The 26715-nt window shown below is 44.8% G+C and overlaps 1 protein-coding gene across 1 annotated transcript in view, besides 2 other annotated features; it reads right to left on the bottom strand.

Annotated features, from left to right (window-relative positions):
- Positions 1-26715, bottom strand: part of GARRE1 (granule associated Rac and RHOG effector 1) — a 101013-nt gene that overhangs the window by 29585 nt on the left and 44713 nt on the right. The window contains exons 2-3 of the mRNA NM_014686.5: positions 25014-26303; positions 5866-6075 (exon numbers count right to left, since the gene is read on the bottom strand). Of these exons, the coding sequence (NP_055501.2) occupies positions 5866-6075; positions 25014-25508 (705 nt within the window). The 5' untranslated portion in view covers positions 25509-26303. The remainder of the gene's footprint in view (positions 1-5865; positions 6076-25013; positions 26304-26715) is intronic.
- Positions 5904-6198: an enhancer, noted in NCBI's record as "tiled region #14193; K562 Activating non-DNase unmatched - State 8:EnhW". NCBI's record gives its function as "activates a minimal TATA promoter and a strong SV40 promoter by Sharpr-MPRA in K562 cells {active_cell/tissue: K562}" and the evidence as "EXISTENCE:reporter gene assay evidence [ECO:0000049][PMID:27701403]".
- Positions 14993-15492: an enhancer, noted in NCBI's record as "H3K4me1 hESC enhancer chr19:34801395-34801894 (GRCh37/hg19 assembly coordinates)". NCBI's record gives its function as "activates a minimal SCP1, AML or CMV promoter by ChIP-STARR-seq in primed H9 embryonic stem cells {active_cell/tissue: H9 hESC(primed)}" and the evidence as "EXISTENCE:reporter gene assay evidence [ECO:0000049][PMID:30033119]".

The raw sequence follows: 26715 nt of genomic DNA, 5'->3' as shown, positions 1-26715 counted from the left end.
AGAGGACTATACCAGGGAATGTCCTAGACACCCAGAAAGCAGCACTTAGGGTGAGAATTAGAGGAGAAGGTCGTGAATGGAATTGCATGTGTGTGGGGTGGGGTGGGGGGTGTCAAGACCTACAGACGGGTCCGTGAAACAGGCCGAGGATCCAAGGTAACAAAGAAAGACACATCCAAGGAACTAGAGCCCAGTGAGCGAGGGCAGGGTGGCCACTGATAAGGCTGGCCATCAAGGCAGGAGCCAGACTAGGCAGGTCTAGGCAGGTCGTGCTGAGGGGTCCACATGCTACCCTAAGGAAATGAGAAGCGACATCATCCAATTTTAAAATGAAGGCGAGCAAGACAGGGAGGGGAGAAGTAACGATTCCCTGAACAAGGGTAGCGATGAAGGACGTGGAAGAAGGGGACAGATCTGGGATAAGATTTTGGAGGTGGGAACTGCCGGGTTTTCTTAAGGATTGGACTGGGTGTAGACATGACGGAAATGCTGAAGGATAAATCTCAGGTTTCTCAAGTGAAGCCAGTGTGGGATGGCACCACTCACTAGCATAGAGAGGGTCTAGGGAGGAACAGGTGAGTGGAGAGAGGCTACGCCTGAGCCACCTGTGAGACCCCCGGTAGCAGCTGAGCTCAGGGGCCTGAAGCCCACAGGAAGTGGGCTGCTCACTGATCACACACATTTGAGCCCCCTCCAAGGACACAGGTGGTTTTTCAGTCCCAAGACTGGATGGAGAACCCCTAGGGAGAAGGGCAGCTAGAACTGAGCCTGGAGAAACTCACATTCAGAAATTGTGTTGAGGAAGGAGAAGCCAGTAAACTAGATGAAGAAAGGATGACCCAAGAGGAAAGAAAGGTTGGTTCTTGGATGTCACAAGCTGAGAGTATTTCCAAGGAGGAATATTCTCCACACTGCTGTGAGCTGCTGAAAGTTGTTGAAAGGGTTCCCTGGATTTGAAAACATGGAAGAAGGCACCAATGACCTTGATAAGAGAAGGCATGTTCTTGTATAGGAGTGGAAGCCAGATTTCAGCAAGCTGAATGACATTATGTATATAAAGTTTCAGACTGTGTAAAATAATACCTTATGTATAGATACATTCATATACGGAAAAAATATTAAAATATGCACAAGGATCACACGCTTCAAATTCAACAGAGGTTATCTCTAGAGACAAAGGGATGAATAAGAAAGTGGAGAGGTACAAAAGGGATTCAAGTGCATTTACAGACCGGGTGCAGGAGCCTAGGAGCTTGGGACCGGCCTGGGAACATAGCAAGACCCTGTCTTTAAAAAAATAAATAAAAAGTAAAATAAAATAAATAATTAGCCAAGCATGGTGGTGCATGCCTATAGTCTGAGCTACTCAGGAGGATTGCTTGAGCCGAGGAGGTCAAGATTGCAGTAAGCTGTGATCACTACCGCACTCCAGCCTGGGCAACAGAGCAAGACCCAGTCTCAAAAAAAAAAAAAAAAAAGTGCACTGGTGATATTTTTCTGTTAAAAATATGTAACAGGCATGAGCAAATATGGCAGGCAGCTAAAAGGAAGATACACTGATGGGTGTGAAATGTTCTATGTGCCTGAAATACTTCAATAATAATTACTTTTTAGACTACTCTGAGTAAACTGTCCACGGGGTGTGCCAGGAGCAGTAAGGAGCCACAAGGTGCAGTAAAAATAAAATAGTAATTTTTTAGAATGAATGAAAGGTGAAAAAAAGGTAGACAACTACTCCAAGAAGTTGGCTGAGAAAAGAGCAGAGAAACAGGGCAGGGCAGAGTGGACTTTTCTGTGGGAAGCATCTTTGTGTACTGGTGGGAACAGGCTGAGGATGAGGGAGAGAAAACACTAGGTCGCACCACAGAAGCTGGGCCCTCGAGGATGGGGGCAAGGCCAGCACGGGGCAAGCCTGGACAGGAGGAGAGGGCACCTCCTCTGCTGTCATGAGGCAGGGGAAGGAAGAAAAGATGGTTGTGAAGAGGGATGGCAGGAGTGGTGGTGGCTTGGCCACATGAGGAAGAAGGGCTGCCATCAGGGAGATTCTATTTGCTCAGTGTAGTAGGGGGTGGCATCACTGGCTGAAAGCAAAGGGAATGTAGAAAGGGCAGAAAGGCCTGGACAGACTAAAATGGTGGCAAAAAAGGTCAAGGTGAAGACGTCAAGAGAGAACTCGGAGGCCTCCTCCTGTGGGCTGGTCCTCAGCATGAGTTGTCTAGAAGATGGAGCAGGGGACCAAGGCAGGTGTTAGGTTCACGTGTGTGAGCTGAACAGTCAGGAGGCTGGGGCCCAGCAGCCAGGAGGACACCGAGGGTTGTAAAGTCACATGACAAGGCAACAAGGTGCAGGTCTGGACCTCAGGGCTTAGCCATCTACAATAAAGCTAACAGGTCCCACCCCCACACACAGCCTCCAATTAGCATTCCAGGGCCTTTCTGATGAACAGAAAGAAAGCCCTAGGAAGTCTTTAGCATGAAAGACAGACCAAAACATGCAAGAAAACAGTGAAAATTAAAAAGAAATGACAACAATGCAGCAAATGGCATGAAATTGAAATAATAAAACTAGAGACTGGACAATATTAACATGTGAAAAATCATGTTTTGAAAATTTTATTAAAGAAAATTTCCAAAACATAAAATGAAATACTAGGCCGGGCGCCGTGGCTCACGCCTGTAATCCCAGCACTTTGGGAGGCTGAGGCGGGCAGACCACGGGGTCAGGAGATCGAGACCATCCTGGCTAACACAGTGAAACCCTGTCTCTACTAAAAATACAAAAAATTAGCCAGGTGAGATGGCAGGCACCTGTAGTCCCAGCTACGCGGGAGGCTGAGGCAGGAGAATGGCGTGAACCCCGGGGGGCGGAGCCTGCAGTGAGCCAACATCGCACCACTGCACTCCAGCCTGGGCAACAGCGAGACTCCACCTCAAAAAAAAAAAAAAAAAAAAAAAAAAAGAAAAGAAATACTTTGCCAAGTTAATTATGGAATGATTTGAACTAGACATTATTTAATGAATCACTATATTGCTAACCATAAATTATCTTTTAATCTGTGTTTGCCTGCTGGGATAGTTTAAAAAAATTATCTTTTGGCCCAGGTGGGTGACTCACACCTGTAATCCCAGCACTTTGGGAGGCCGAGTCAGGTAGATCACCTGAGGTCAGGAGTTTGAGACCATCCTGGCCAACATGGCGAAACCCCATCTCTACTAAAAATACAAAAATTAGCTGGGCGTGGTGGCGGGTGCCTATAATCCCAGCTACTGAGGAGGCTGAGGCAGGAGAATTGCTTGAACCCGGGAGGCAGAGGGTACAGTGAGCCGAGATTGCGCCACTGCACTCCAGCCTGGGCGAAGGAGCAAGACTCCGTCTCAAAAAAAAGAAAATTATCTTTTACTCTGTAAAATGGAGCAGTAAGTCCTAAAGTCTCAACTTCTAAGATTTATTTTTTATTTCTCATACTGGAAAGAAATAAGTATTAAAATGCCTACAAGAAATGTCACTAATGGCCAGGCATGGTGGCTCACACCTGTAATCCCAGCATTTTGGAAGGACAAGGCAGGTGGATCACCTGAGGTCAGGAGTTCAAGACCAGTCAGGCCAACATGGTGAAACCTTATCTCTACTAAAAATACAAAAATTAGCCAGGCGTCGTGGTGCGCGCCTGTAATCCCAGCTACTCGGGAGGCTGAGGCAGGAGAATGGCTTGAATCTGGGAGGCAGAGGTTGCAGTAAGCCAAGATCACGCCATTATACTCCATCCTGGGCAACAAGAGCGAAACTCTGTCTCCCAAAAGAAATGTCACTGATTATAGGCAAAGTCTCCTTAAAACAGACTTTTTCAGAGCTGTTTTTGATTGCCTTTTATTTAAGCTTAAATTCTTCTGGCTGTGGAAAAGGAATAGAGAATGCCACACCAGAGTGACTAGGAAAGCAACCCTGCGCTAGGCTAGAATCCCCCCACCGGAGCGGCTCCCTGCAGCCCACCATTTAGTCATGAGGTTGTCACCACGAGAGGAGAATCCCACAATTCTCCTTCACATTATCCCTGATGACCATGCCATACCATCCCACACCACTGCGCTCTCTATCCACTAGGGAGCCAACCACTCAGTCTAGCTCTTGCATGATGGCTAGATTTTATAAACATATCTGCTGTGCTGGGAAATAGCTGATCTTCCAAGGGATAAAAGACTTCATGTTGGCCCAGTGCAGTGGCTCACGCCTGTAATCCCAGCACTTTCAGAGGCCAAGGTGGGTGGATCACAAGGTCAGGAGTTCAAGACCAGCCTGGCCAAGACGGTGAAACCCTGCCTCTACTAAAAATACAAAAATTAGCTGGGGCTAAAATACAAAAATTAGCCGGGCATGGTGGCGGGCGCCTGTAATCCCAGCTACTTGGGAGGCTGAGGCAGAGAATTGTTTGAACCCGGCAGGCGGAGGTTGCAGTGAGCCAAGATCGTGCCACTGCACTCCAGCCTGGGCGACAGAGTGAGACCCCGTCTCAAAAAAAAAAACTTCATGAAGTCACATAAAGCATACTGGAGAACTGCTGAAATCACATGTAAAGCACTGACAAATGAGGATCTAGGCAGAGTTAGACCAATTAAGAATCTTGTCCAAATCTGTAATCCCAGCACTTTGGGAGGCCAAGGCAGGCAGATCACGAGGTCAAGAGATTGAGACCACCCTGGCTAACACGATGAAACCCTGTCTCTACTAAAAATACAAAAAAAAAAAAAAAAAAAAAAAAAATTAGCCGGGCTTGGTGGCGGGCGCCTGTAGTCCCAGCTACTCGGGAGGCCGAGGCAGGAGAATGGCGTGAACCTGGGAGGCAGAGCTTGCAGTGAGCTGAGATCACGCCACTGCACTCCAGCTTGGGGGACAGAGCGAGACTCCGTCTCAAAAAAAAAAAAAAAAAAAAAAAAGAATCTTGTCTGGGTGCAGTGGCTAATGCCTGTAATCCCAGCACTTTGGGAGGCAGAGGTGGGTGGATCGCTTGAGCCCAGTAGCTCAAGACCAACCTGGACAACATAGTGAGACTTCATCTCTACCAAAAAAAAAAAAAAAAAAGTAATAATAATAATAATAAGCTAGACATGGTGGCATGAGCCTGTAGTCCCAGCTACTTGGAAGAGGCTGAGGTGGGAGTATCTCTTGAGCCCGGAGGTACAGGCTGTAGTGAGACTTGATCGCAGCACTGCACTTCAGCCTGGGCAACAGAGCAAGACCCTGTCTCAAAAAAAAAAAAGAAAAAGAAAAAGAAAAACTTAAAGAATTTAAAAAGTTACAAAGATTCCAAGCACTTCTATAGGGAATGATTTGACTAACAAAAAACACAAAATTCCCTGTGTCCACTGAGCTCTCGCCCTGCTGTGGTTGTATCTTTGGAGCCTGTCATCCCATCCGTCTGCCAAACACTCCTGCTCGCCTGCCTCGCTGCCTGGCTGGCCACTTACCCTCCCCAGACAGCTCCACCCCGTCTTTCCTGACTTGGGTGCCAGCCTCTTCTCACTGGTCCCCCATCTTAGAAGCTTTCCTGCAGCACTACCGTTCAGAGACAGGGCCCTCCCTTCCTCTGGCTCCCGCATATCTCCATCCTGGCCCCTTAGCCCTGTTTTTGTAAGCCTATTCTCCCAGGAGGCTGTGAGTAGAGGTTGTCATCCTAGTGCCTGGCACATGCCTGGCACAAAGTGGGCATTCACAAAGATGTTCACTGTTAAATGAATGAACAAGCCAATGATAACAGTTTAAAATGTACATTTCTAAATGAAATGGCTGTTTTGAGAATCAACAGGCAAAGGCCCTCTGGAGCCTCTCCTATTTGAACACAGGCACCAATCTCCCCAAAGCCAGGGTTACCTCAGCAGCCCCCCGCCAGGACCGCACAGCTTCCTCTACTTCAGGTGTGTGGCCCATGCCAGATAAGCCGCCGCCACTGCCGCTGTTCTTTTTTTCTGGCACGATGACCTCAGCAAAGCAAGAGTGAGCCACCGGCTGGACCTTCTGTAACGCATGAGTCAAAAACTGGAAATGGACTTGCACCACAGTCAGGAAACATCGCCCCAACACCTGTGAAAACAAGACAGCCAGGGATGTTTAGGTTGTGGGTTGCTGTTGGATTCGCGCAGTAAATTTTCAATGACCAACTTGAATAGAAGCAATAGTTAACTGGAAATCCAAAATCATACAAAGTTAAAAGGCCACCATGCTTCAGAAGGATCTGCCTTTGTTTTTGTGTTTGGACCTCGGTGACTGATGCCTGGAAGTCAAAACATTTCCATCAAATAACAAGGCCCAAGGTTGAAATAATTCTTCCCATTTCCCACCAAGTAACCCCCAATCCTGTCTCCACCCCCTATATCTGGACTCACACCACTTCTGGTGTCTTTGAGCTCCTGCTGAACCACAGCCATCCACAACAGCAATTACGTCCATACAGTATTCAGAAGGTAAAGGAAAAACCATGCAACTAAAAATCTGAAAGAAGGCCAGTTTGACCATAAGACATTCCGTTGAAAATGGAATCCAAATATACCGGTTATTTTAGTAGGAGTGTTAACATAGTTATTAACATAGTTGTATGTCATCATTCCAGTCTTAGGAAACAAAGCTGACAGACCAGTCTTCCAGGAGTCAAGAAAATATAATGGACAGCTCCACTCATGAGTACAGTAGAAACCCATTAACCTGATATATATCAGTGATTGGTTGCTAATAGTCCAAGTAGGAAATTAACTTAAAAAATACTATACACATGAATATGTAATTATAATAAGATGTATACTAAATATATACTATGTGCCACAAACATTTTCAGATATGATTGTGCATTTCTCTGGCAGCCTTCTGGTATGGGCTAAGGCTGTTCTGACAGCTCCTTTGCTGCTCCTCCCTGTTACTTTCTTGCATAAACCACAGTTACAATGTGTTCTCTATCATTTCTTATTTATCTTTTTTTTTTGAAATGGAGTCTCGCTCTGTCACCCAGGCTGGAGTGCAGTGGCGTGATCTCGGCTCACTGCAACCTCCACATCCTGGGTTTAAGCGATTCTCTGACCTCGGTGCACTATCACACCCGGCTAATTTTTGTATTTTTAGTGGAGACGGGGTTTCACCATGTTGGCCAGGCTGGTCTTGAATTCCTGACCTCAGGTGATCCACCTGCCTCGGCCTCCCAAAGGGCTGGGATTACAGGCATGAGCTCCCATGCCCGGCCTTATTTCCTCTTTAACACAGGGCAAAAACTGGCCACTTACAAAGCAACTTGACCACAAACCTTCCAGATTATTGACATTTTTTCCTAATTTCTCATAGTTGTTTTGCCCACATCAGATTTGGCAATAATACCAACAAAAACCTTTTGCAGCTCTTTTATCCTGCTCCCTAATAATTTTTTGTGGAAGATATTTTATATTTCTTTGGCTTATGCAGATTACTTATTCACAACAACTTACTTTATTGAGTTTGCAATTCACCCAGCTGAGCAGGAGTGGACCTGAGAGAGCCTACTCACAGCCGGCCCTCAGCCCACTGCCTCACGCAAGTGGTGAAGGTCAGGGAACTATAGCCATTGCTTTTTACAAGGAACCAAAATCCAGCACAGTGCCCATGCACTGTCCTGTCCCTTGAGCAGCACACAGTAAGACTCAACCTTCCTCTCCCCTCAGGTGCACACGTGGACTCTCTGCCTTGTGGCACGCATGTGGACCTCTCGCCTTGCCTCGCCTCAGCATCTACCTTTGCCACACGCCCTCTCAGTTCCCAAGAGTCAGAGCTGTTTCTTCTTGGAGAAGCAGGGGCAAGCCAGTTCCCAGCAAGACACTTATTATCTCCGAATCCCTCCTCACCCTGTGGAAATCACCAGGACCAAACTAAAGCAAACAAAAAACCGCACACAAATCTCACACCAAAGCACTTGCCCTCCAGAGGGAACAACAACCGACATCACAGGCTGAAGCCCCCCAAACTCCTGGGCTTCCACTCACACCTCCTTCAGAGCCCTTCCCCCAGTGCTCTGTGCTAGACTGGGCAGGGTGAGGGACACGAAGGCAGCGCACCTAGGCCAGTTAGACAGGTGCCAGGAGTAGAATAAGCAGCAGCTATTTAGTCCTGTAGAGCACACAGACAGCTTTAGTGGAGCACACAGCCTGTACCTGACCAATGCTGGAGAGTCACATGGGCTAGCGCATTCAATCCCAGGAACCACCCTATGAGGTCATCCTCCCTTCATAGACAACAAGATCAAGGCATAGAAAGGCTACAAAATTTTGTCAACGGGACACAATCTGCATGTGGTGGACCAGTCACCTGACTCAAGTGTCCATGCCCTTCACCTGTGTGCCCCACTGCCTTCAGCAGACTCTAAACTGGCATCGGCTTGCATGTGACAGGAACTCCACCTTAACTGGTGTAGGCTGAGGGTTTCCTCAATCTCCCCACCCACTGCAGACACAGGGAGGGGGAGTGAGCCGGCTCCTCAGGGACACAAACTATTCCTCCCACTCCTTCCTCAGCACCTTGGCAGCTATGGGAAGCTGGAGGAGGAGGAAAAAGGGAAGACGCCATGCTCCATTAGCTCTGGGTTCACACTCTCACAGCTCTGATGGACACAACTTAGTCATTCATTCTCTCAATAAATATATAAGATGGGGATGCCTGATATGCACCAAGCACAAAGAGCTGGGAACACTACTGGAAAGAGAATGAGCAAGTCCCTGCTCTCGCCAGGGCGACATTCTAATGGGGAAGACAACAGGCAATGAACAGATATGCAAGGCCGGGTGCTGCTGGGAAAGGAACACAGACGGATGGGAAGGAAAAGGCTCCTCAAGGAAATGACCGAGGGCAAAGGGAGAGCTACCCTGTCCCCTCCCCTACTAAGGGGCAAAGTTCTGAGGAATGGCTGAAGGCCTGAAGGAGGGCCCCCAGATCAAGAACAGGATGCTCTCTGACAAGGCCATCACCCCTGGGGAGAATGAGGTGGAGGAAGCCCTCTTGCTGTGGGGTGGCAGTAAGGAGGGCAGAACCCTGCTGTAGGAAGGAGTGGGGGAAGAGACACAGGTCAGTTTAAAAGGCATTGTCTGTGTTGTCTCCACCACTTAGGATGTGTTTGACCTTGGATGAGTCATTTAACCTAAGCTTCTTTCCTATAAATAAGGAATGAGGACAACAGCTCAGCTACTGTACACCTCCCTCTCCTACCCAGGATGCCTGGAGACCAACTCAGTCATACAAATTATGATTGTAACAAAATATCTGTGTTGTAAATAACTTATTCAAAGCCAATCAAACCAATGGTTAACGCTGGACCTTGGAAACAGCTGTTTCATCAGATATCTGCTCTAAAAATTTACCCAGAGTAACAGATGCATAACCACCACCTTCTCTTGAGAGAGTACAGAGCTCAACCTCCAGCCTGCCTCTGCCCACCTTTCCCCTCCGAGGATCTCAGGTCTTAGCTCAGCTCCTCTCCTGAAACAGACCCCACTCTCCTTGACCCAGGAATGAGCCAGTCTTTGGGCGTCTTCCTGACATAAGTTTGGGAGAGTGTGACCCCAGGGCTGTGGAAAGCTATTTTCTCCTTCACATGGAGAAAGTTTCCTGGACTGTGTGGTTCAGTCAAATTGCAGAACACATGGGGGAAGCTGGGGAGTGGATGAGCAGAGTGGCCAAAGGCAGGTTTTTAAGTTTAAAATGCCAGTGAAGCTCTATCAACAGCTACCATTTATTGAGTGTTTAAATACCAAGCACCTTATGTTTGGTGAACCATCCCTGTGGGGTGTGAGCAATTCACCCATTTTACGGATGATAACACTGAAGTTTACAGAGATAAAGAAACTTGCTCAATGTCAAGCAGGTAATAAGTAGGGATCTGACACCAGGTCTGTTTGACTCCGAAAACTGTGTTGCTAACCACCAGGCTACTCTTTCTACCTATGACAAGATCCAGAATGAAGCCACAATAGTGGATAAATACTAATCAGAGAAGGAGCTATGGATTACAGACAGCTATCGGGGTCTACTGAATGAGAGCCTGTTTTCTAGCAACCCTTGATGGTGGAGGAGAAGGGTGCATCTTTACCTTCCTATTCCCTTGCACACACACAACATCTGCTGCTAAGGATGTTGTATTCATGTACATAACCAGAATACCTTTTCTTTTTGATGATATTTATATTTTATTCAGATTGTAAAACAGATTTTAATTTAAGGCCTTCCCATTTGGAGCACCAAAAAACTACCCTTTTTTTTTTTTTTTTTTTTTTGAGACAGAGTCTTGCTCTGTTGCCCAGGCTGGAGTGCAGTGGCACAATCTTGGCTCACTGCAAGCTTTGCCTCGCGGGTTCATGCCATTCTCCTGCCTCAGCCTCCCAAGTAGCTGGGACTACAGGCACCCACCACCACGCCAGGCTAATTTTTTGTATTTTTAGTAGAGACAGGGTTTCACCGTGTTAGCCAGGATGGTCTTGATCTCCTGATCTCATGATCCACCCGCCTTGGCCTCCCAAAGTGCTGGGATTACAGGCGTGAGCCACTGCGCCCAGCCAAGACCACCCTTTCTATACCACTGTAGTTGTTGCAGATCAACCTACATGTCAACTCTGCTTTCCTGGAATATTTCAAAGTTTAGTTGCAGTTATTCCTCTTCTAGGCTCAGGCCTGACTCAGCCTATAATACCTGCATGTGGTTGGAACTATGGAGTGCCCAAGTCCACCCCATTTCCCAAAACATGGTGTGATTTTCACATCAATACAAATAATTTATCACTAAGTTCATTGTTCTGCTCAACTTCATGAACTCAAGTTCATCTTTTTCATATCCCTTTAGAATGAGGAACAAGTAAAACTCTCATACAACCATTTATTTCCGATCACTTTAAAAGTCCAGTGTAAGTAGGTACAAGATGGGTGCTTGTATTAGAAATTCCAAAGCATTCAATCATTTCTTTCTCTTCAATACTCATTTATACCTTAAATGTTACATTAGGTTCCTAGTGTCCTCAACCTTGTTCTTAATGAGGTATCTTTTGTTCTGATGATCATTCGAGTCATTACATAATGAGCTACACACCAGAATGTGACACAAAGACCTAAATGCATCCCCAGAGACACAGAGAATGCAGCAGACCATGCCTGGGCTATAGAAAGTACTTACAAAGATTATGCTACAGTAGAAAAATGTAAGAAACAGGCTTACTGAAACTAATATGTAAAAAACTAACTAAAGAACAACAAAGTCTCCTTGCAGTCAGCAATAACCTACAGGATACAAAAGGTGCCATGCTATGTTTAGAACAAACGAGGGAGAAAGCAAGCTCAGGCCCAAGGGTGGCAGAACCAACACCAAATGCTAATAATTCAGACAAGAGTACATTCTGCCCCCAGACACGCTGCTTCACTGCTGGTGAAAATAACAGCACAGGCAGTTTCTGAGCTCATATTTCATGGGCAAAGCACTGTGGTGCACAAAACTTTTTGTATCAGTAATACTCACCATCAATAAATCAGGGGGGAAAAGATTAGCTATACAAACATACAAATAGTTCTAAATATTCCTAAATAGGTATAACCATTGATTGTACGATTACTAAACAGCCCATATTTGTACCTATAGATTTTTTTTTGCAAAAAGTAGATTGTGTGTTTATAGTTTGCTTTCCAAAATATATTAAAAATCTGTTACCATATCAATACACACAGGAAGTTTTACATTTCTATATTTATATTTATAGCAGCTACACTGCTATAAACCTTAGCATACCTAATAATAATAATTACAAAATATCATCCAGGGAAAAAATGAAAGGCCACTCAAGATAACTGAGTCCACGTTAATTACTCTTGAGTAATTTTTCCCATTCAAAATGCAAGTTTTGGCCGGGCACGGTGGCTCATGCCTGTAATCCCAGCACTTTGGGAGGTTGAGGCGGGTGGATCACTTGAGGTCAGGAGTTCAAGACCAGCCTAGTCAACATGGTGAAACCCTGTCTCTACAAAAAATACAAAAATCAGCCGGGCGTGGTGGTGCATGCCTGTGATTCCAACTACTCGGGAGGCTGAGGCAGGAGAATTGCTTGAACCTGGGAGGCAGAGGTTGCAGTGAGCCAAGATCACATCACTGCACTCCAGCCTGGGAGAAAGAGCGAGACTCCGTTTCAAAAAATAAATAAAAACAAAATGCAAGTTTTCTCCATAAACAAGTTTACATTGTGGGCAGAGATAAAAACATATTTAAGTTATCCTGATATATGGCCTCAAGAGCCCATCAGAGGTCAGAAAATTCTTTTTGTTCACATGAGTGTACTTTTTGTTAAAATTTGTCACTTCCATCAAGAATACTATTGATAAACTGATTACAAAGACAAACAGGGAACTGGCAAATGGAAATCAGTCTCCATGAACATTATCCTCATCATGACACATCACTTGGGTGAGGCCGCTCTGTCGCACTAGATGCCTCCCATGTTGCCGCACTGAGACAGGGATCCCAATATCCCCATCTGACAGGGACACTCCCAGCCGGCTGTATCTGCACAGTGTTCCAAGTGGTGTAACCATGGCAAATCTTGGAATGGGGTGGAGAGGAGGCCTCACCTCCCCTCAGCAGCATCACCCTTGCTTCATTTCCTTCCTAGCTCTCCAGCTGTTCCAGTTTCAGACTCCTGGGCGGCTTCCTATTCATCTTCTGACTGTAAATGTGGGAGTGCCCCAGGGTTTACTCATTCTCCAGCTACGCTCTTCCTTGATGACCTCCTTCAGTTCTCTAGCTTTACATCTGTCTACTGACTGAGGGTCTCCAAGTTCTGGACCTCAACCCTCAACTCCAGATTTGTGTATGCAACTATCCTGTAGAAATCACCCATGGGATATCTAATAGGCATCACAGACCTATTATCTGAACTTACTCTTCCCCACTACTCCCCATCTCAGTAAATAGCACTACCAGGGAGTGAGTGACCCAGGTGCGCATGTCATAAACCATGCAAAATACAACTGCTAAAATATTTATCAGCCTTTATTTATTTATTATTTTTATTTTTATTTTTCTGAGACGGAGTTTCACTTTTGTTGCTCAGGCTGGAGTGCAATGGCACGATCTTGGCTCACTGCAACCTCAGCCTCCCAGGTTCAAGCGATTCTCCTGCCTCAGCCTCCTGAGTAACTGGGACTACAGGCATTCACCATCATGCCCAGCTAATTTTTGTATTTTTACTACAGATGGGGTTTCACCATGTTGGCCAGGCTGGTCTCAAACTCGTGACCTCAGGTGATCCACCCACCTCAGCCTCCCAAAGTGCTGGGATTACAGGCATGAGCCACCGCGCCCGGCCACAGCCTTTAAAAAGAAGGAAATTCTGATGCGAGCTACAACATGAATGAGCCTTAAAGACATTATGCTAAGTGAAACACACTTGTCACAAAAGGACAAATATTCTATGATTCCATTTATACGAGGTTCCTAGAGTAGTCAAATTTATAGAGGTAGAAAGAATGTTCGTTGCCAGGAGCTGGGAGGAGAGGGCAACCAGGAGTTATTGTTGAGCAGGTACAGAGTTTCAGTTTGGGAAGATAAGAAAGTTCTAGAGATGGATGATGGTGATGCTTGCACAACAATGTAAGTGTACTTAATACTACTGAACACTTAACAATGGTTAAAATGGCAAAATTTATGTTACATATATTTTACCACAGTAAAAATACACATAACTACTTCTAGTCACGTCTGCTACCCTTCTATTCCAAACTACTATCATCCCTCATTTAGACTGCTCTAATAGCCCCTTAACTAGTCTTCCTGCTTCCACTTAATTAGAATCAGGTTTATCTACATATAACAAAACAAAAACAAAAACAGAAACAGGCCAGGCATGGTGGCTCACACCTGTAATCCCAGCACTTTAGGAGGCCCAGACAGGAGGATCGCTTAAGCCCAGGAGTTTGAGACCAGCCTGGGCAACACAGTGAGACTCCATCTCTACAGTAAAAATAAAAATAATAATAATAATTTTTAATTAAAAAAAAATCAAACCCAAAACCAATACAGTGGCTTAAATAAGAACTATGTTGCCGGGTGTGGTGGCTCATGCCTGTAATCCCAGCACTTTGGGAGGCCAGGGCAGGGGGATCACCTGAGGTCAGGAGTTTGAGACCAGCCTGACCAACATGGTGAAACCCCATCTCTACTAAAAATGCAAAAATTAGCTGGGTGTGGTGGCACACGCCTGTAATCCCACCTACTTGGGAGGCTGAGGCAGGAGAGTCGCCTAAACCCAGGAGGCAGAGGTTGCAGTGAGCCGAGATCGCACCACTGTACTCCAGCCTGGACAACAAGAGCGAAACTACATCTCAGAGGGGGGAAAAGAAAAAAAAATTATGTTTATTTTTTTCTAAGGTAAAACAAATCCAGAGCAGATGGACCAGGGTTGGAATGGAGACGCCAGGGCATCACAAGGAGCCCACTTCCTAGCTTTCTGCTCGGCACACTCATGCGAGGCTCCTATTTCTAGGTGACTTCACGATTATAAATGGTTAAATGGCCATCAGTCATTCTGCACGCACTGGAGACGGTAGAAAATTGGAGGAGGAGGGAGCACCAATTTCCCCTTAAGGAGATATCCCACTAATCTCATGCAGTACTTCTAGTTACACCGTCATGAACCAGATCTTATTCAAGTGACCACTCCCAGCTTTAAGGAACTAAGAGGTGTAGTCCTTATTCCAGGTACAGTATGGAAAACAAAATGAGAGTTTGTTACTAAGAAAAAATGGCAGCTTGGGCAATGTAATGGAACCCCAACTCTACAAAAAAATACAGTTTAGCTGGGTGTGGTGGCATGCACCTGTAGACCCAGATAGTTGGGAAGCTGAGACAGGAGGATTGCTTGAGCCCAGGAGTTCAGGCTGCAGTGAACTGTGATTGTTCCACTGCACTCCACCCTGGGCAACAAAGTGAAACCCTGTCTTGCGGGGGGGCGGGGGCAGAAAGAAGGTAAAGAAAGAAAGAAGAAAGGAAAAAAGAAAAAAGAGATTGGATATTCAGAGGCAACTACCAGTATCTCCTCACTCTCCCCAGGGCCTACTGGGCTCTCTGCCCTGCCCCTGCTCAGATGCGCTCTCAGTTAGGTAGGAGGTTCTGGTATGAGGGCTGGCCCTGGCACAGTGAGCTGGGTGCGGGGAGAGGAGCAGTTGAAAGTTTTGCCGAATCAACAGACTTCAGGCTATTTTCCATCTGCATCACAGCACTCATCACACCTAGTGCCAGTCTATTTATTTATCTGGCCTACCAGTCCTGGAGTGCTTTTATTGTCCTTGTCATCTGTGCAATGCTTGCAGCTAGCTCATGTGTATTTATCGAGGAGGGTGGGTGGCTCAGCTGGGAGAAGAGGAAGGCAGGCCAGGTGGCTGGGCCTACTCAGGAGGGGCCCTAGTGCGAGCAAGGGTGCTCAGGGGTGCCTCTACATCACGCTATTTCTGATTTCCTGGCTCTGGACATTTCACCATTAGCAGAGGGGCAAGACAGCCTGTTCTCACAGGGGGATGGCCTCTGCCAACAAGCCCCTCTGCACTAGACTGCACTGGCCCGAGGCAGTGGGGAGGCAGCAGACACATAGGACACATAACCCATACATGGGCTGGCCTCAGAAGGACTTCAGGCAAATGCTGTTTTATGGGTGCTCAGGTTCCTGGTTTGTAAAGAGGAGGGAGGCTGCCAGAACAGGCCATTATCCAATCCTGTGAGATCTCCTAAGCTGACTAGAACCAAAAAATTAATTCAGGAAAGCCAGTTCTATCTGAAATTATATTCCATGAACTCTCCTATTTGTTTCCTTCTAATCTGCCCACCAAACCTAATTTTTCTAGCACATCACGCAAGCCTTTTCAGCAACTCAAAATTTTAAATCCTACTCTCTAAAAAGACAGCAACATTGCCATTCAATCACTAGTCCCCAAAATTAGCAACATTTCATTCTTTCCTTGACTCCCACCTGCTGCTGGCCTCCCACTTTCAGAGACGGTCTTTTCTCTGTTCCCATTTTCTCCTTTGATTCACTTTTACTCTCTTCATTTTTTTTGAAGAACACCTGCTTTTCTCTTCATCCCTACACCTTGGGTTTTCTAACTACTCAATAATGCTCCCCTTTCTGTTAGAAGACCACTTCACATGCGAAAAGCCCTCCATGAAATGGAGTTATTTATTGGGTACTCTGATATATTACGTCTTTAATACATTCCTGAATTTCTCTCTCACTTTTTGCAAACTTGGAAAAGGTCCAAACGTACACAAAAGCAGAACATAACAAGCCCCCATGTACCCATCAAAACACTTCAATCCTATGGCCAGGCACAGTGGTTCAAGCCTATAATCCCCGTGTTGTGGGAGGCTGAGGTGGGAGGATCACTTGAGCCCAGGAGTTTGAGACCTGGGCTCACAGCCTGGGCAACACAGCAAGATCCTGTCTCTACAAAAAAATTAAAAGTTTCAATTCCATTAACATTTTGCCATGCTTTTACCATCTATCCTTCCCCATCTTTTTTCTTTTTTTGAAGTAAATCCCAATCAACCAAGACTCAGTATGTGTTCAAGCTTCCCAACTTATCTTTTAAAAATTATGTTTTACATTTGGTTTGAACCTCAACCCCAAAAAGGTAATTTTATTTGGTTGTTATATTGCTTAACTCTTTTAATCTAGAACAGTACATTCTGTGTAATTTCTTTTAATGCTACTGACTTGTTGAACAAATCAGGTCAACTTATTACAGGATATGCCACATTGTGAATTTGTCTGGTTGCCTTCTCGTGGTATTGCATAACTTGCGTCACTACACCCCACATTTCCTGTAGACTGGATTCATTTTAGAAGCTTGATTAGATTATTTCAGGGTTTGTTTTTTTTTTTAAAGAGGGAGAAGTAGAATATTATTAATATTAGATGTGTTGTGCGGTTCTTGCTGCAGCACATCAGGAGACGTGATGACCTGTCTCCATTTCCATGACACTAAGGCTGATCAATGAGATTTGGGTGCGGAAGGCCTGATTCTCCCAAATGCGGTTCCTCAGCAACCTTCCAACAAATGGTTTCATCCTCCACTGTTGGCCACTGGTTGAGTCACCGAATTGATCACAGTCTGCAAAGTGGAGATTTTTCTCTCATCCATTAGGGCTATTTGGTTACCATGAAAAACAGTTTCTACTGGAAAAGCAGGAAATTTGCTTATTTCCTTACTTTTCTCCTTTTAATTAGCATTTATCAGAATAATGAGTTGGTTGCACATGCTTGTCTTGACAAATCAAAGTCAAAGGGTCCAGTCCCTCCACAGTGACAGATGCCCAATGGCCTTGGTGGCTTCCACCCACGTAGAATGGGCTAGACAGATGGTAAATCATGTTTGTTGACCACAATGCAAATTTACAGAATCACCCAAATTCCAGCTGCTTAATTAAGTACAGCTTCCTCTACAGGCTAAAGTCTGAAGACAATTTAGGTAATAGCAGATTCACCTCAGCAAAAAAGTAAGCCAAAAACACTGACCTGAAATTAGCAAGTTTCAAAACTGGATTCATACAAGCTTTTTATGAGGTGAACTTCAGTTTCTGATTAGCAGCAGCAATATGAACTTTCATCTGGCACATACCATTAGGAAATATTTACTCCATAATCTGTTACAGAAGATCTACCAGTCAAAACAAGTAACACTTACTTTTACCTTTAGGGCAAAAAAAAAAAAAAAAAAAAAAGGAACAGGATGCACATTCAATTCCATTAAGGTTAATGCAAATCGTATTTTTGAAACCAGCTTCTAATATTTTCCATTATTGTTACTCTACAATATTTCTGGTATATATCTATCCAAAATAAATGTTAATATACCTGAATTAAGGTCCTTAATTAAGAGTCAGTCAGCACTCACAGATAAATTATTTCAAACATATTCACAGGTAATCACATAGTATACAAAAGAAATTTGTTGTTGTGTCAAACTGAAAGCCAAGATGCAACTGTGTAAAGATTTGAGAGCCAGGCCCAGTGATACATACTTGTAGTCTCAGCTACGCAGTCTCAGATACGCGGGAAGCTGAGGCTGGAGGACTGCTTGAGCCCAAGAGTTCGAGGCTAGCCTGGGCAATATGGCAAGGCCTAATCTCTAAAAAAAAAAAAAAATATATATATATATTTTTTTTTTATAGTATATATATTTTATAGTATATATATACTATATATGTATATATAGTATATATAAGTATATATGTATATATAGTATATATATAAGTATATATGTATATATAAGTATATATGTATATATAAGTATATATGTATATATAAGTATGTATATATAAGTATATATGTATATATAAGTATATATATGTATGTGTGTGCGTATGTGTATATATATACATACATATATAAAAAATACATATTTTATATATATGTCTGGCATATATATATATAATACGTATATATACATATAAGTCTGGCTGCTTATTCACAAGATGGTAAATACTTGAAAAGTCAATAAAAATGCTGGAATTTATAAAATACAGTCTCCTTAGAGACATACAACTCCTGGGAGCCCCATGGCTGCCCTGGGTTCCTGGACTGCCTACATAGAGGACCAACACCTCTCAACACTGAGGACCCAACGTAAAACCAGAGCCCTGGAGCTACCCAGTATGAAGAAGGCAAGGGGAGAAGTGGCATCGCTGCTCACTACAAAAGAATGGCAGGGCCCAGCCTGCTGCCCTCCCATCCCCTGCCCTTCAGAGGTGTACCTCACCTTGCCTCCTACCTGGCTACTCAGAACAGACACCAGAGTGGCCCCTCTTTACCCTTCTGACCTCACCCCTGCTTCTCTCCCTTCCATTCACTCTGTTTTAGCCACAGCAGGTTCTTTCCTGCTCTTCCAACACTCCAGGCTGGCTCCTGCCTCTGGGACTCTGTGCTCGGCGCTCCCTCCGCCTGGAATCCTCTTTTCTGGGCCAACAGGCTTGCTCTCTCATCCCTTTCAGGCCTTTACTCGAATGTCACCTTCTCAGTGGTACCTTTTCTAACTACCTTCTCTAAGATCGAAACTCCCTTCTAGCTACATGAAGGGAGAGATTTCTGTCATGTTCACTACTGCAATCGACATGCTGGAGTAGTATCAGGCAGAAACAAGGCATACAATAAATATCTGTGGAATGAATGCACAAATCACAAGTCACTTTGATTCTTTTATTTATGTACACTTCCACTGAAAAAGTAATTTTATTTAAGTGATAGATGTCACCTTCCAAACCCAGGTCTTCTGACTCTGTGCCCAGTAACTGACTTCCTAGGCTGATGTACCAGTGTCACAGGCACTAGTCAGCTAGTGAAACCCCATAGTCACAACTCACTTCTCTAACAGAGAGACTGTGAGGGTGAACCACTCGGGCTAAGGGGCAAAGTCACTGGTGAGTATAGACTGGACAGGACTCACATATGCCCTGCTGGTTCCAAGGCAGGGTGGCAGAGCACACAGTCAGCAACCACCATTCCTGGACAAAGGCATCAGTATCTGTCAATCAATAACCACAGCCCAAACTTGGCTGTAAGTCAGAAGCACCTGGGAACACTGCACACATGCACTGGCCACATGGCAAGGGGACAGGATCATCCTTTGTCCTAACTCTTAAATGGTCAAATATTTGAATACTCTCGAATCCAGAGCTTTTCTCACCCACAGTCCTGGACTGAGCTCCTGAGTAGAGGCCTTGCCTGGCAATGTTAGGCCACAGACCTCTTTCCCCAGGGATGAATGTCAAAGTGACTCTCAGGGCCTTGCTTATAAAAATCCTTAAAAAACCAAAAGGAAAAAATCCAAATGCCTAGCCATTTCATCTGAGTTGCTGAAAATTCTGAGAGAGACCCTTATTGGCCTATGGCTAAATCCCCTGGCAGTACATAAATTCCAGAAACAACAAATATTGCTCTGGGGAAAAAGTGAAACGTGAAGTCTGCGGGCCTATGCTTGGCAATCACATTTAGAAATTCACTTGTAAGTCAGCTGTTTGAAACTCAGAATAGACGCATAAATTGGAAAACCCACCAAATACTTAGTTTCCAGACTCGTCTGGGAAAGCCTGTTCAGCCCATTATGTACAAAAAAACATGGTAGTATTCCAACTATCTAATCAGCATTTCAATGTGGAAAGCCAAGTCAAAATTCCAAACTACAACAATAAGTATTTCCCGTTCTCAGCTTCAGTGGTCAATGCCAGTCCCAGGAAAGCAGAAGAAACAAAGCAGGTACTGCTGTGCCCCAGCGGCTTACCAAGCCCCTACTGCTCACAGCTGGTTATCTTCTCTAATTGTCCTGCCCTGGGCAACAGGCGCACTTGCCCTCCAGGGTTGGAAAGCAAAGGGCCCTGCAGGTCAAGCTCTGTTTCCTCCAATACCTGCAAGCATGTCCTGAAGAAGAGCTCAGTAATGCTCAGGTTAAAATAAAAGCCTTTGGCCTTATATTTCAAACCACTCTTGCCTGAAGTCCTGAATAAAGCTAAGAGCGCTATGTCATCATGGGGTGACAGCTGTCAGAGTCTAAGATTGTTCAACACTTTCTAGGAGAGGACAAAGTGTTCCTAACTATTGTCTTGCCATATCTCTATCAAGCAGTGACCAGGCACAATGGTGGATGAACAACGTGGTTCTTTATGTAAAAGTCAAAGCTGCACACATCTGTACATATCCATGCATGTACAGACGGTAGTCTGGAATGGCATACAACAACCAGTTACTAATGGTCACTTCTGGGGAAAGGAATGAGGTGCTAAAGGAAAGTAGAAGTTTCACTGCTTACGTTTCTTTTGAGAAGTAAAGGCATGCTTTTTTATGTGTTGAATTTTTAAACAAAATTATGACAAGCCCGCCGGGCACGGTGGCTCACGCCTGTAATCCCAGCACTTTGGGAGGCCGAGACGGGCGGATCCCGAGGTCAGGAGATCAAGACCATCCTGGTTAACATGGTGAAACCCCGTTTCTACTAAAAATACAAAAAAATTAGCCGGGCGTGGTGGCGGGCGCCTGCAGTCCAAGCTACTCGGGAGGCTGAGGCAGGAGAACAGCGTGAACCTGGGAGGCAGAGCTTGCAGTGAGCCGAGATCACGCCACTGCACTCCAGCCTGGGCGACAGAGCAAGACTCTGTCTCAAAAAAATAAATAAATAAATAAAAAATAAAAATAAAAATAAAATTATGACAAGCCATTTTATACACACTTTAAAATGACAGTATCCCTGGGTATAAAATATGATCATAGAAACAATTAGAAATTACAAAGATGGCTGGGCGTGGTGGCTAACCTCTGTAATTCCAACACTTTGGAAGGCCGAGGTAGGTGGATCACTTGAGGTCAGGAGTTTGAGACCAGCCTAGTCAACATGGTGAAACCCGTCTCTACTAAAAATACAAAAAAAATTAGCCAGGTGTGGTGGCACGTGCCTGCAGTCCCAGCTACTTGGGAGGCTGAGGCACAAGAATCGCTTTAACCCAGGAGACAGAGGCTGCTGTGAGCCAAGACCACGCCACTGCACTCTAGCCCGGGCAACAGAGCAAGACTCCGTCTCAAAAAAAAAAAAAAAAAAATTACAAAGATGGCCGAGCACGGTGGCCCACGCCTGTGATCCCAGCATTTTGAGGCCATGAGTTTGAGACCAGCCTGGCCAACATGGCGAAACCCTGTCTCTACTAAAAATACAAAAATTTGCTGGGTGTGTTGGCACATGCCTGTAATCCCAGCTACTTGGGAGGCTGAGACATAAGAATTGCTTCAACCCAGGAGGCAGAGGTTGCAGTGAGCTGAGATCGCCAATGCACTCCAGCCTGGGCAACAGAGCAAGACTCTGTCTAAAAAAAAAAAAAAATTACAAAGATAGATCCAAAGTAGAATGACCCTGACCCAAGGAAGTGACTATACACTTATACCAGCAGGTGCAGCAAACTAGAACCCATCGGCCAAACCCCATCCATAGAATAGATGGGCCCACAAAGTAAAGCTGACTTTTACATTTTTAAAGGATTGTAAAAAATAAAAATAAAAACAAGGCCGGGAGCGGTGGCTTACACCTGTAAATCCCAGCACTTTGGGAGTCTGAGGTGGGTGGCTCACTTGAGGTCAGGAGTTTGAGACCAGCCTGACCCACACGGTGAAACCCTATCTCTACTAAAAATACAAAAATTAGCCAGACATGGTGGTGGGCGCCTGTAATCCTACCTACTCGGGAGGCTGAGGCAAGAGAATTGCTTGAACCCGGGCAGCGGAGGCTGCAGTGAGCCGAGATCACGCCATTGCACTCCAGCCTGGGCTACAAGATGAAACTTCGTCTCAAAACAAAAACAAAAACAAAGAATATGTGAGAGAGACCACATGTGGTCCATGAAGCCTAAAATTTCTGTCTGCCCTTCATAGAAAAAGCTTGATAAACCCTGATTTATACCAATGATGCTGTGTCTCTTAAGAAATAACTCTAAGTTCTTCTTGGAAATTCCTTCAAAATCACTTTTAAACACAGTAAAAATTAGTTGTGTTACTTAAAAGTCAAGTTCTTTTTTTGGTTAACCCAAAGCAGTGTTAGTTAGCTTATTCAGGCACCTAAATAATCAGATCCGACCCAAAAGACTGGTGATCTTAACCCCAGGATGGGGTAAGGAACATTCTCCTTCCTAGGATCTCATATCCAAGAACTTCACCTGGATGTAGAAGGATGGAAAAACTAATGTCAGATTAACTCTCTGAACAGCTAAAAGTAATTTTTAAAATCTATCAAACGAATATAAGAGATCAAAGTTGAATAAATCATTTCCTAAAATAAGACAAGAAAAAAGGTCATCTTTACTTTGAATGAAACTTGTATTCTAATCTTACATTGTAATCTAGAGCCCTAAAAGAATAATATTTCATTTTAACTATCAAAGAGGCTGGGTGTGGTGGCTCACACCTGTAATCCTAGCACTTTGGAAGGATGAGGTGGGTGGATTGCCTAAGCTCAGGAGTTTGACACCAGCCTGGGCAACACGGTGAAAACCCATCTCTACTAAAATACAAAAAATTAGCTGGGTATGGCTGCGTGAGCCTGTAGTCCCAGCTACTCAGGAGGCTGAGGCAGGAGAACTGCTAGAACCCAGGAGGCAGAGGTTGCAGTGAGCCGAGATAGTGCCACTGCACTTCAGCTTGGGCGACAGAGAGAGACTCTGTCTTTTAAAAAAAAAAAAAAAAAAAAAAAACTATCAAAGACCCCAAGAAATGTACTGAAGAAGACTCAAATACATCTGAATATTAGCAACTGTGAATTTAGAATTGGAAAAATTATTCTATAAACGTGTGGGACTCTCTAAAAACCAAAGATTCAATATAATAAAAATCCACAGGACAGGCAGGGTGGCTCACACCTGTAATCCCAACACTTTGGGACGCTGAGGCAGGTGGATCACTTGAGGTTAGGAGTTCGAGACCGGCCTGGCCAAGATGGTGAAACCCTGTCTCTACTAAAAATACAAAAAGTTAGCCGGGTGTGGTGGTGGGCGCCTGTAATCCCAGCTACTCGGGAGGCTGAGGCAGAGAATTGCTTGAACCTGGGAGGCGATGTTGCAGTAAGCTGAGATCGTGCCACTACACTCCAGCTTGTGTGACAGAGTGAGACTCCGTCTCAAAAAAAAAAAAAAAAAAAACGGCTGGGCGCGGTGGCTCCTGCCTGTAATCCCAGCACTTTGGGAGGCTGAGGCGGGCGGATCACCTGAAGTTGCGAGTTTGAGACCCTAGTCTGACCAACATGGTGAAACCCCGTCTCTACTAAAAATACAAAATTAGCCGGGCATGGTGGCGCATGCCTGTAATCCCAGCTACTCAGGAGGCTGAGGCAGAAGAATCACTTGAACTCGGGAGGTGGAGGTTGCAGTGAGCCAAGATTGCACTATTGCACTCCAGCCTGGGCAACAAGAGCGAAACTGACTTAAAAAAAAAAAAAAAAAAAAAAAAAAAGGCTGGGCGCAGTGGCTCACACCTGTAATCCCAACACTTTGGGAGACCAAGGCGGGCAGATCACAAGGTCAGGAGATCGAGACCATCCTGGCTAACATGGTGAAACCCCATCTCTACTAAAAATACGAAAAAATTAGCCGGGTGAGGTGGCGGGTGCCTGTAGTCCCAGCTACTAGGGAGGCTGAGGCAGGAGAATGGCATGAACCCAGGAGGCGGACCTTGCAGTGAGCCGAGATCGTGCCACCGCACTCCAGCCTGGGCGACGGAGCAGGACTCCGTCTCAAAAAAAAAAAAAAAATCCACAAATAAAGCTCATAATCGTATTTAGAATTCTCAGTACTCACTAATAACTTTTACCAGTACGGTATTTGAAAATTAGGTTCTGACTTGAAAATTTGAAAGACAACAATATAAAATATTGGCTGGTTTGTTTAATAATTTTTCTTTTTTTTTTTTTTTTTTTTTTTTTGAGACATGGTCTCACTCTGCCGTCCAGGCTGGAGTACAGCAGTGCAATCACGGCTCACTGCAGCCTCAAACTCCTGGGCTCAAGCAATCCTCCCACCTCAGCTTCTGGGCTTCTGGAGTAGTCAGGGCTTCTGGATGTAGAAGGATGGAAAAACTAATGCCAGATTAACTCTCTGAACAGCTAAAAGTAATTTTTAAAATCTATCCAACAGGTGCACACCACCACACCCAGCTAATTAATTTTTTTAGTTTTTGTAGAGACAAGGTCTCACTATGATGCCTCAAACTCCTGAGCTCAAGCGATCTTCCCGCCTTGGCCTCCCAAAGTGCTGGGGTTACAGCCACCACACCTACCCTTAACCTACTGAATTTGATATGAAAGCAATTCAGAACCTGGCACGCACACATTTTTTACAAAGACAGAGTACCAACAGCAAGAGGACAAAGGCTACTATTACAGTGATTTGGAAAAAAACTTAAGACAATATTCTCACTTACCTTTGTAGTATATTTTCCTACACAAGTATGACACAAAAGATACTCTACCTCAATGTCCTGGAGACTGAATTCCTTCTGATCCGTAAAATTTGCAGCCCCAGCACTAAGTTCCATTAGCATCTTGGCGATCTCAGGCTTTATGGCCGAGGTCAGCCGACTGGCTGCTTCCATGACATGCTCCTGCACATCTTTGAGCTGTGTGGCTGCCTTTGAGTAGTGAGAGTTCCTGAACACAGTGCTGAAGAGATCTGTGAGGAAAGTACTGGCACGGCAGAAGACGTTCAGGGCATCCAGATACTTGGAGATGCCCTGCTGGATGTCGGCGATAGGAGTAGTGTGGGGCATGGCATGGTGGCAGCTGCCTGCAGCGGTCAGACTGCCCAGGGGGGCAGTGGTGGCCGTGGATGCCAGGGGAGCACTCAGTGCTCGGCCCAGCTCAGGCATCGGGTATTGCTGGTGCTGCTGCACCTTCTGCTTGGACCCGCCAAGCAGGAAGCGCCGCTTGTAGTCCATTTTACTGTCCTGGGCACTGCAGCAATACATGCGGGAGGGGGAATTGTCCCAGCAACCGTAAGTGGGTCAGGGTTCTGATTCTTCTTTCTCAAAACTGTAGCTAGGTATAAAAATAGTGGAGTTCTGCAAATCGAAGTTTTAAAAAAGGCATTTCCATGAGGCAGGTGACCATGTGATCCAATGTAGAGGTGAGAGACAACAGGTTTATATAATTAATATTTTCAGTGTAGACAGGATCTCTGACAAAAAATAAAAGATGTCCAAAATGCTGGATAAGAACTGTTTAGCATTCCACTCTCTTACTAAAAGGATATGCTTGCTGAGAAAAATGTTTACTTCTTTGCAAGAATATTTTGATACTTGTATTTACAATGGCAGAAAAATAACTTAACGTTTAAAAATGTAATATAATGTAATACACTGTGTCTTCAATATACCCAAAAAAGTTAGAACCCAAAAACCCAGAAGCTGATCAACAGCAATTTAAAAGCAGTAAAGAATTACTTCACACAAAGTCCTTAAGAAGGAAGATCAAACTTCTGCAGAATTTTGACAGAGCCTGCCCGTCAAATCCGTTTACCTGTAAGGCTGCTTCTATGCAATGCTGAAATTCTCCAAATTTCCTCTAATGTTTCCTGAAAACAAGTTTTTCTTTTTTTTTTAAATGGCGTTTGTTGTAAGTCTCCTCCTCCATTCCTTTTGTTTGCTGAGGTAGCGGTTTCCTTGTAACATTAATAAGAGATGCTTCCAGACTGGGCTGGCCCTCAGTTGTAAAGTCTGAAGCAAGAATGCACAGATGTATTTGTAAGGCTTCTAAGTCCTTTCCTGTCGGGGGGAAAAATAAGATAAAGTGAGGAAGGCTACAGTAATTCTGGACAATAACTCCTGTGATGCTATTATCCACACAGGTGGGCTACAAATGAATAAGAAATCATATTATAACCTTAGAGGAGCAGGTACAATAGTGAGCACTGAACTATGAAATGATGACTGTTAGAAAATTCCTCAAGTAGTAATACAAAAACAATGCAACCAAAAAAGTATGATTCTAGACTGGCCCCTTCAAAGCTGAGGCTGGCACGTTGAACAGGGCCTGGATCCACGTTCAGCATTTTCTCCTTTCCTCTTTGAAGAGCTCACAAGCTTCAGGAGGATCACATGAGTACTCAGATTATGGTGAGGGCTGTTGACACACACAGCACTCATAAACTTTATGGGGCATCAGCAAAGGCAGAGA

The sequence above is a fragment of the Homo sapiens genome, chromosome 19, assembly GCF_000001405.40.
Source record: "Homo sapiens chromosome 19, GRCh38.p14 Primary Assembly".
Classification (NCBI taxonomy): domain Eukaryota; kingdom Metazoa; phylum Chordata; class Mammalia; order Primates; family Hominidae; genus Homo; species Homo sapiens.
Note: the sequence above shows the minus strand (reverse complement) of the source record. Positions and strands in the feature narration are given on the sequence as shown.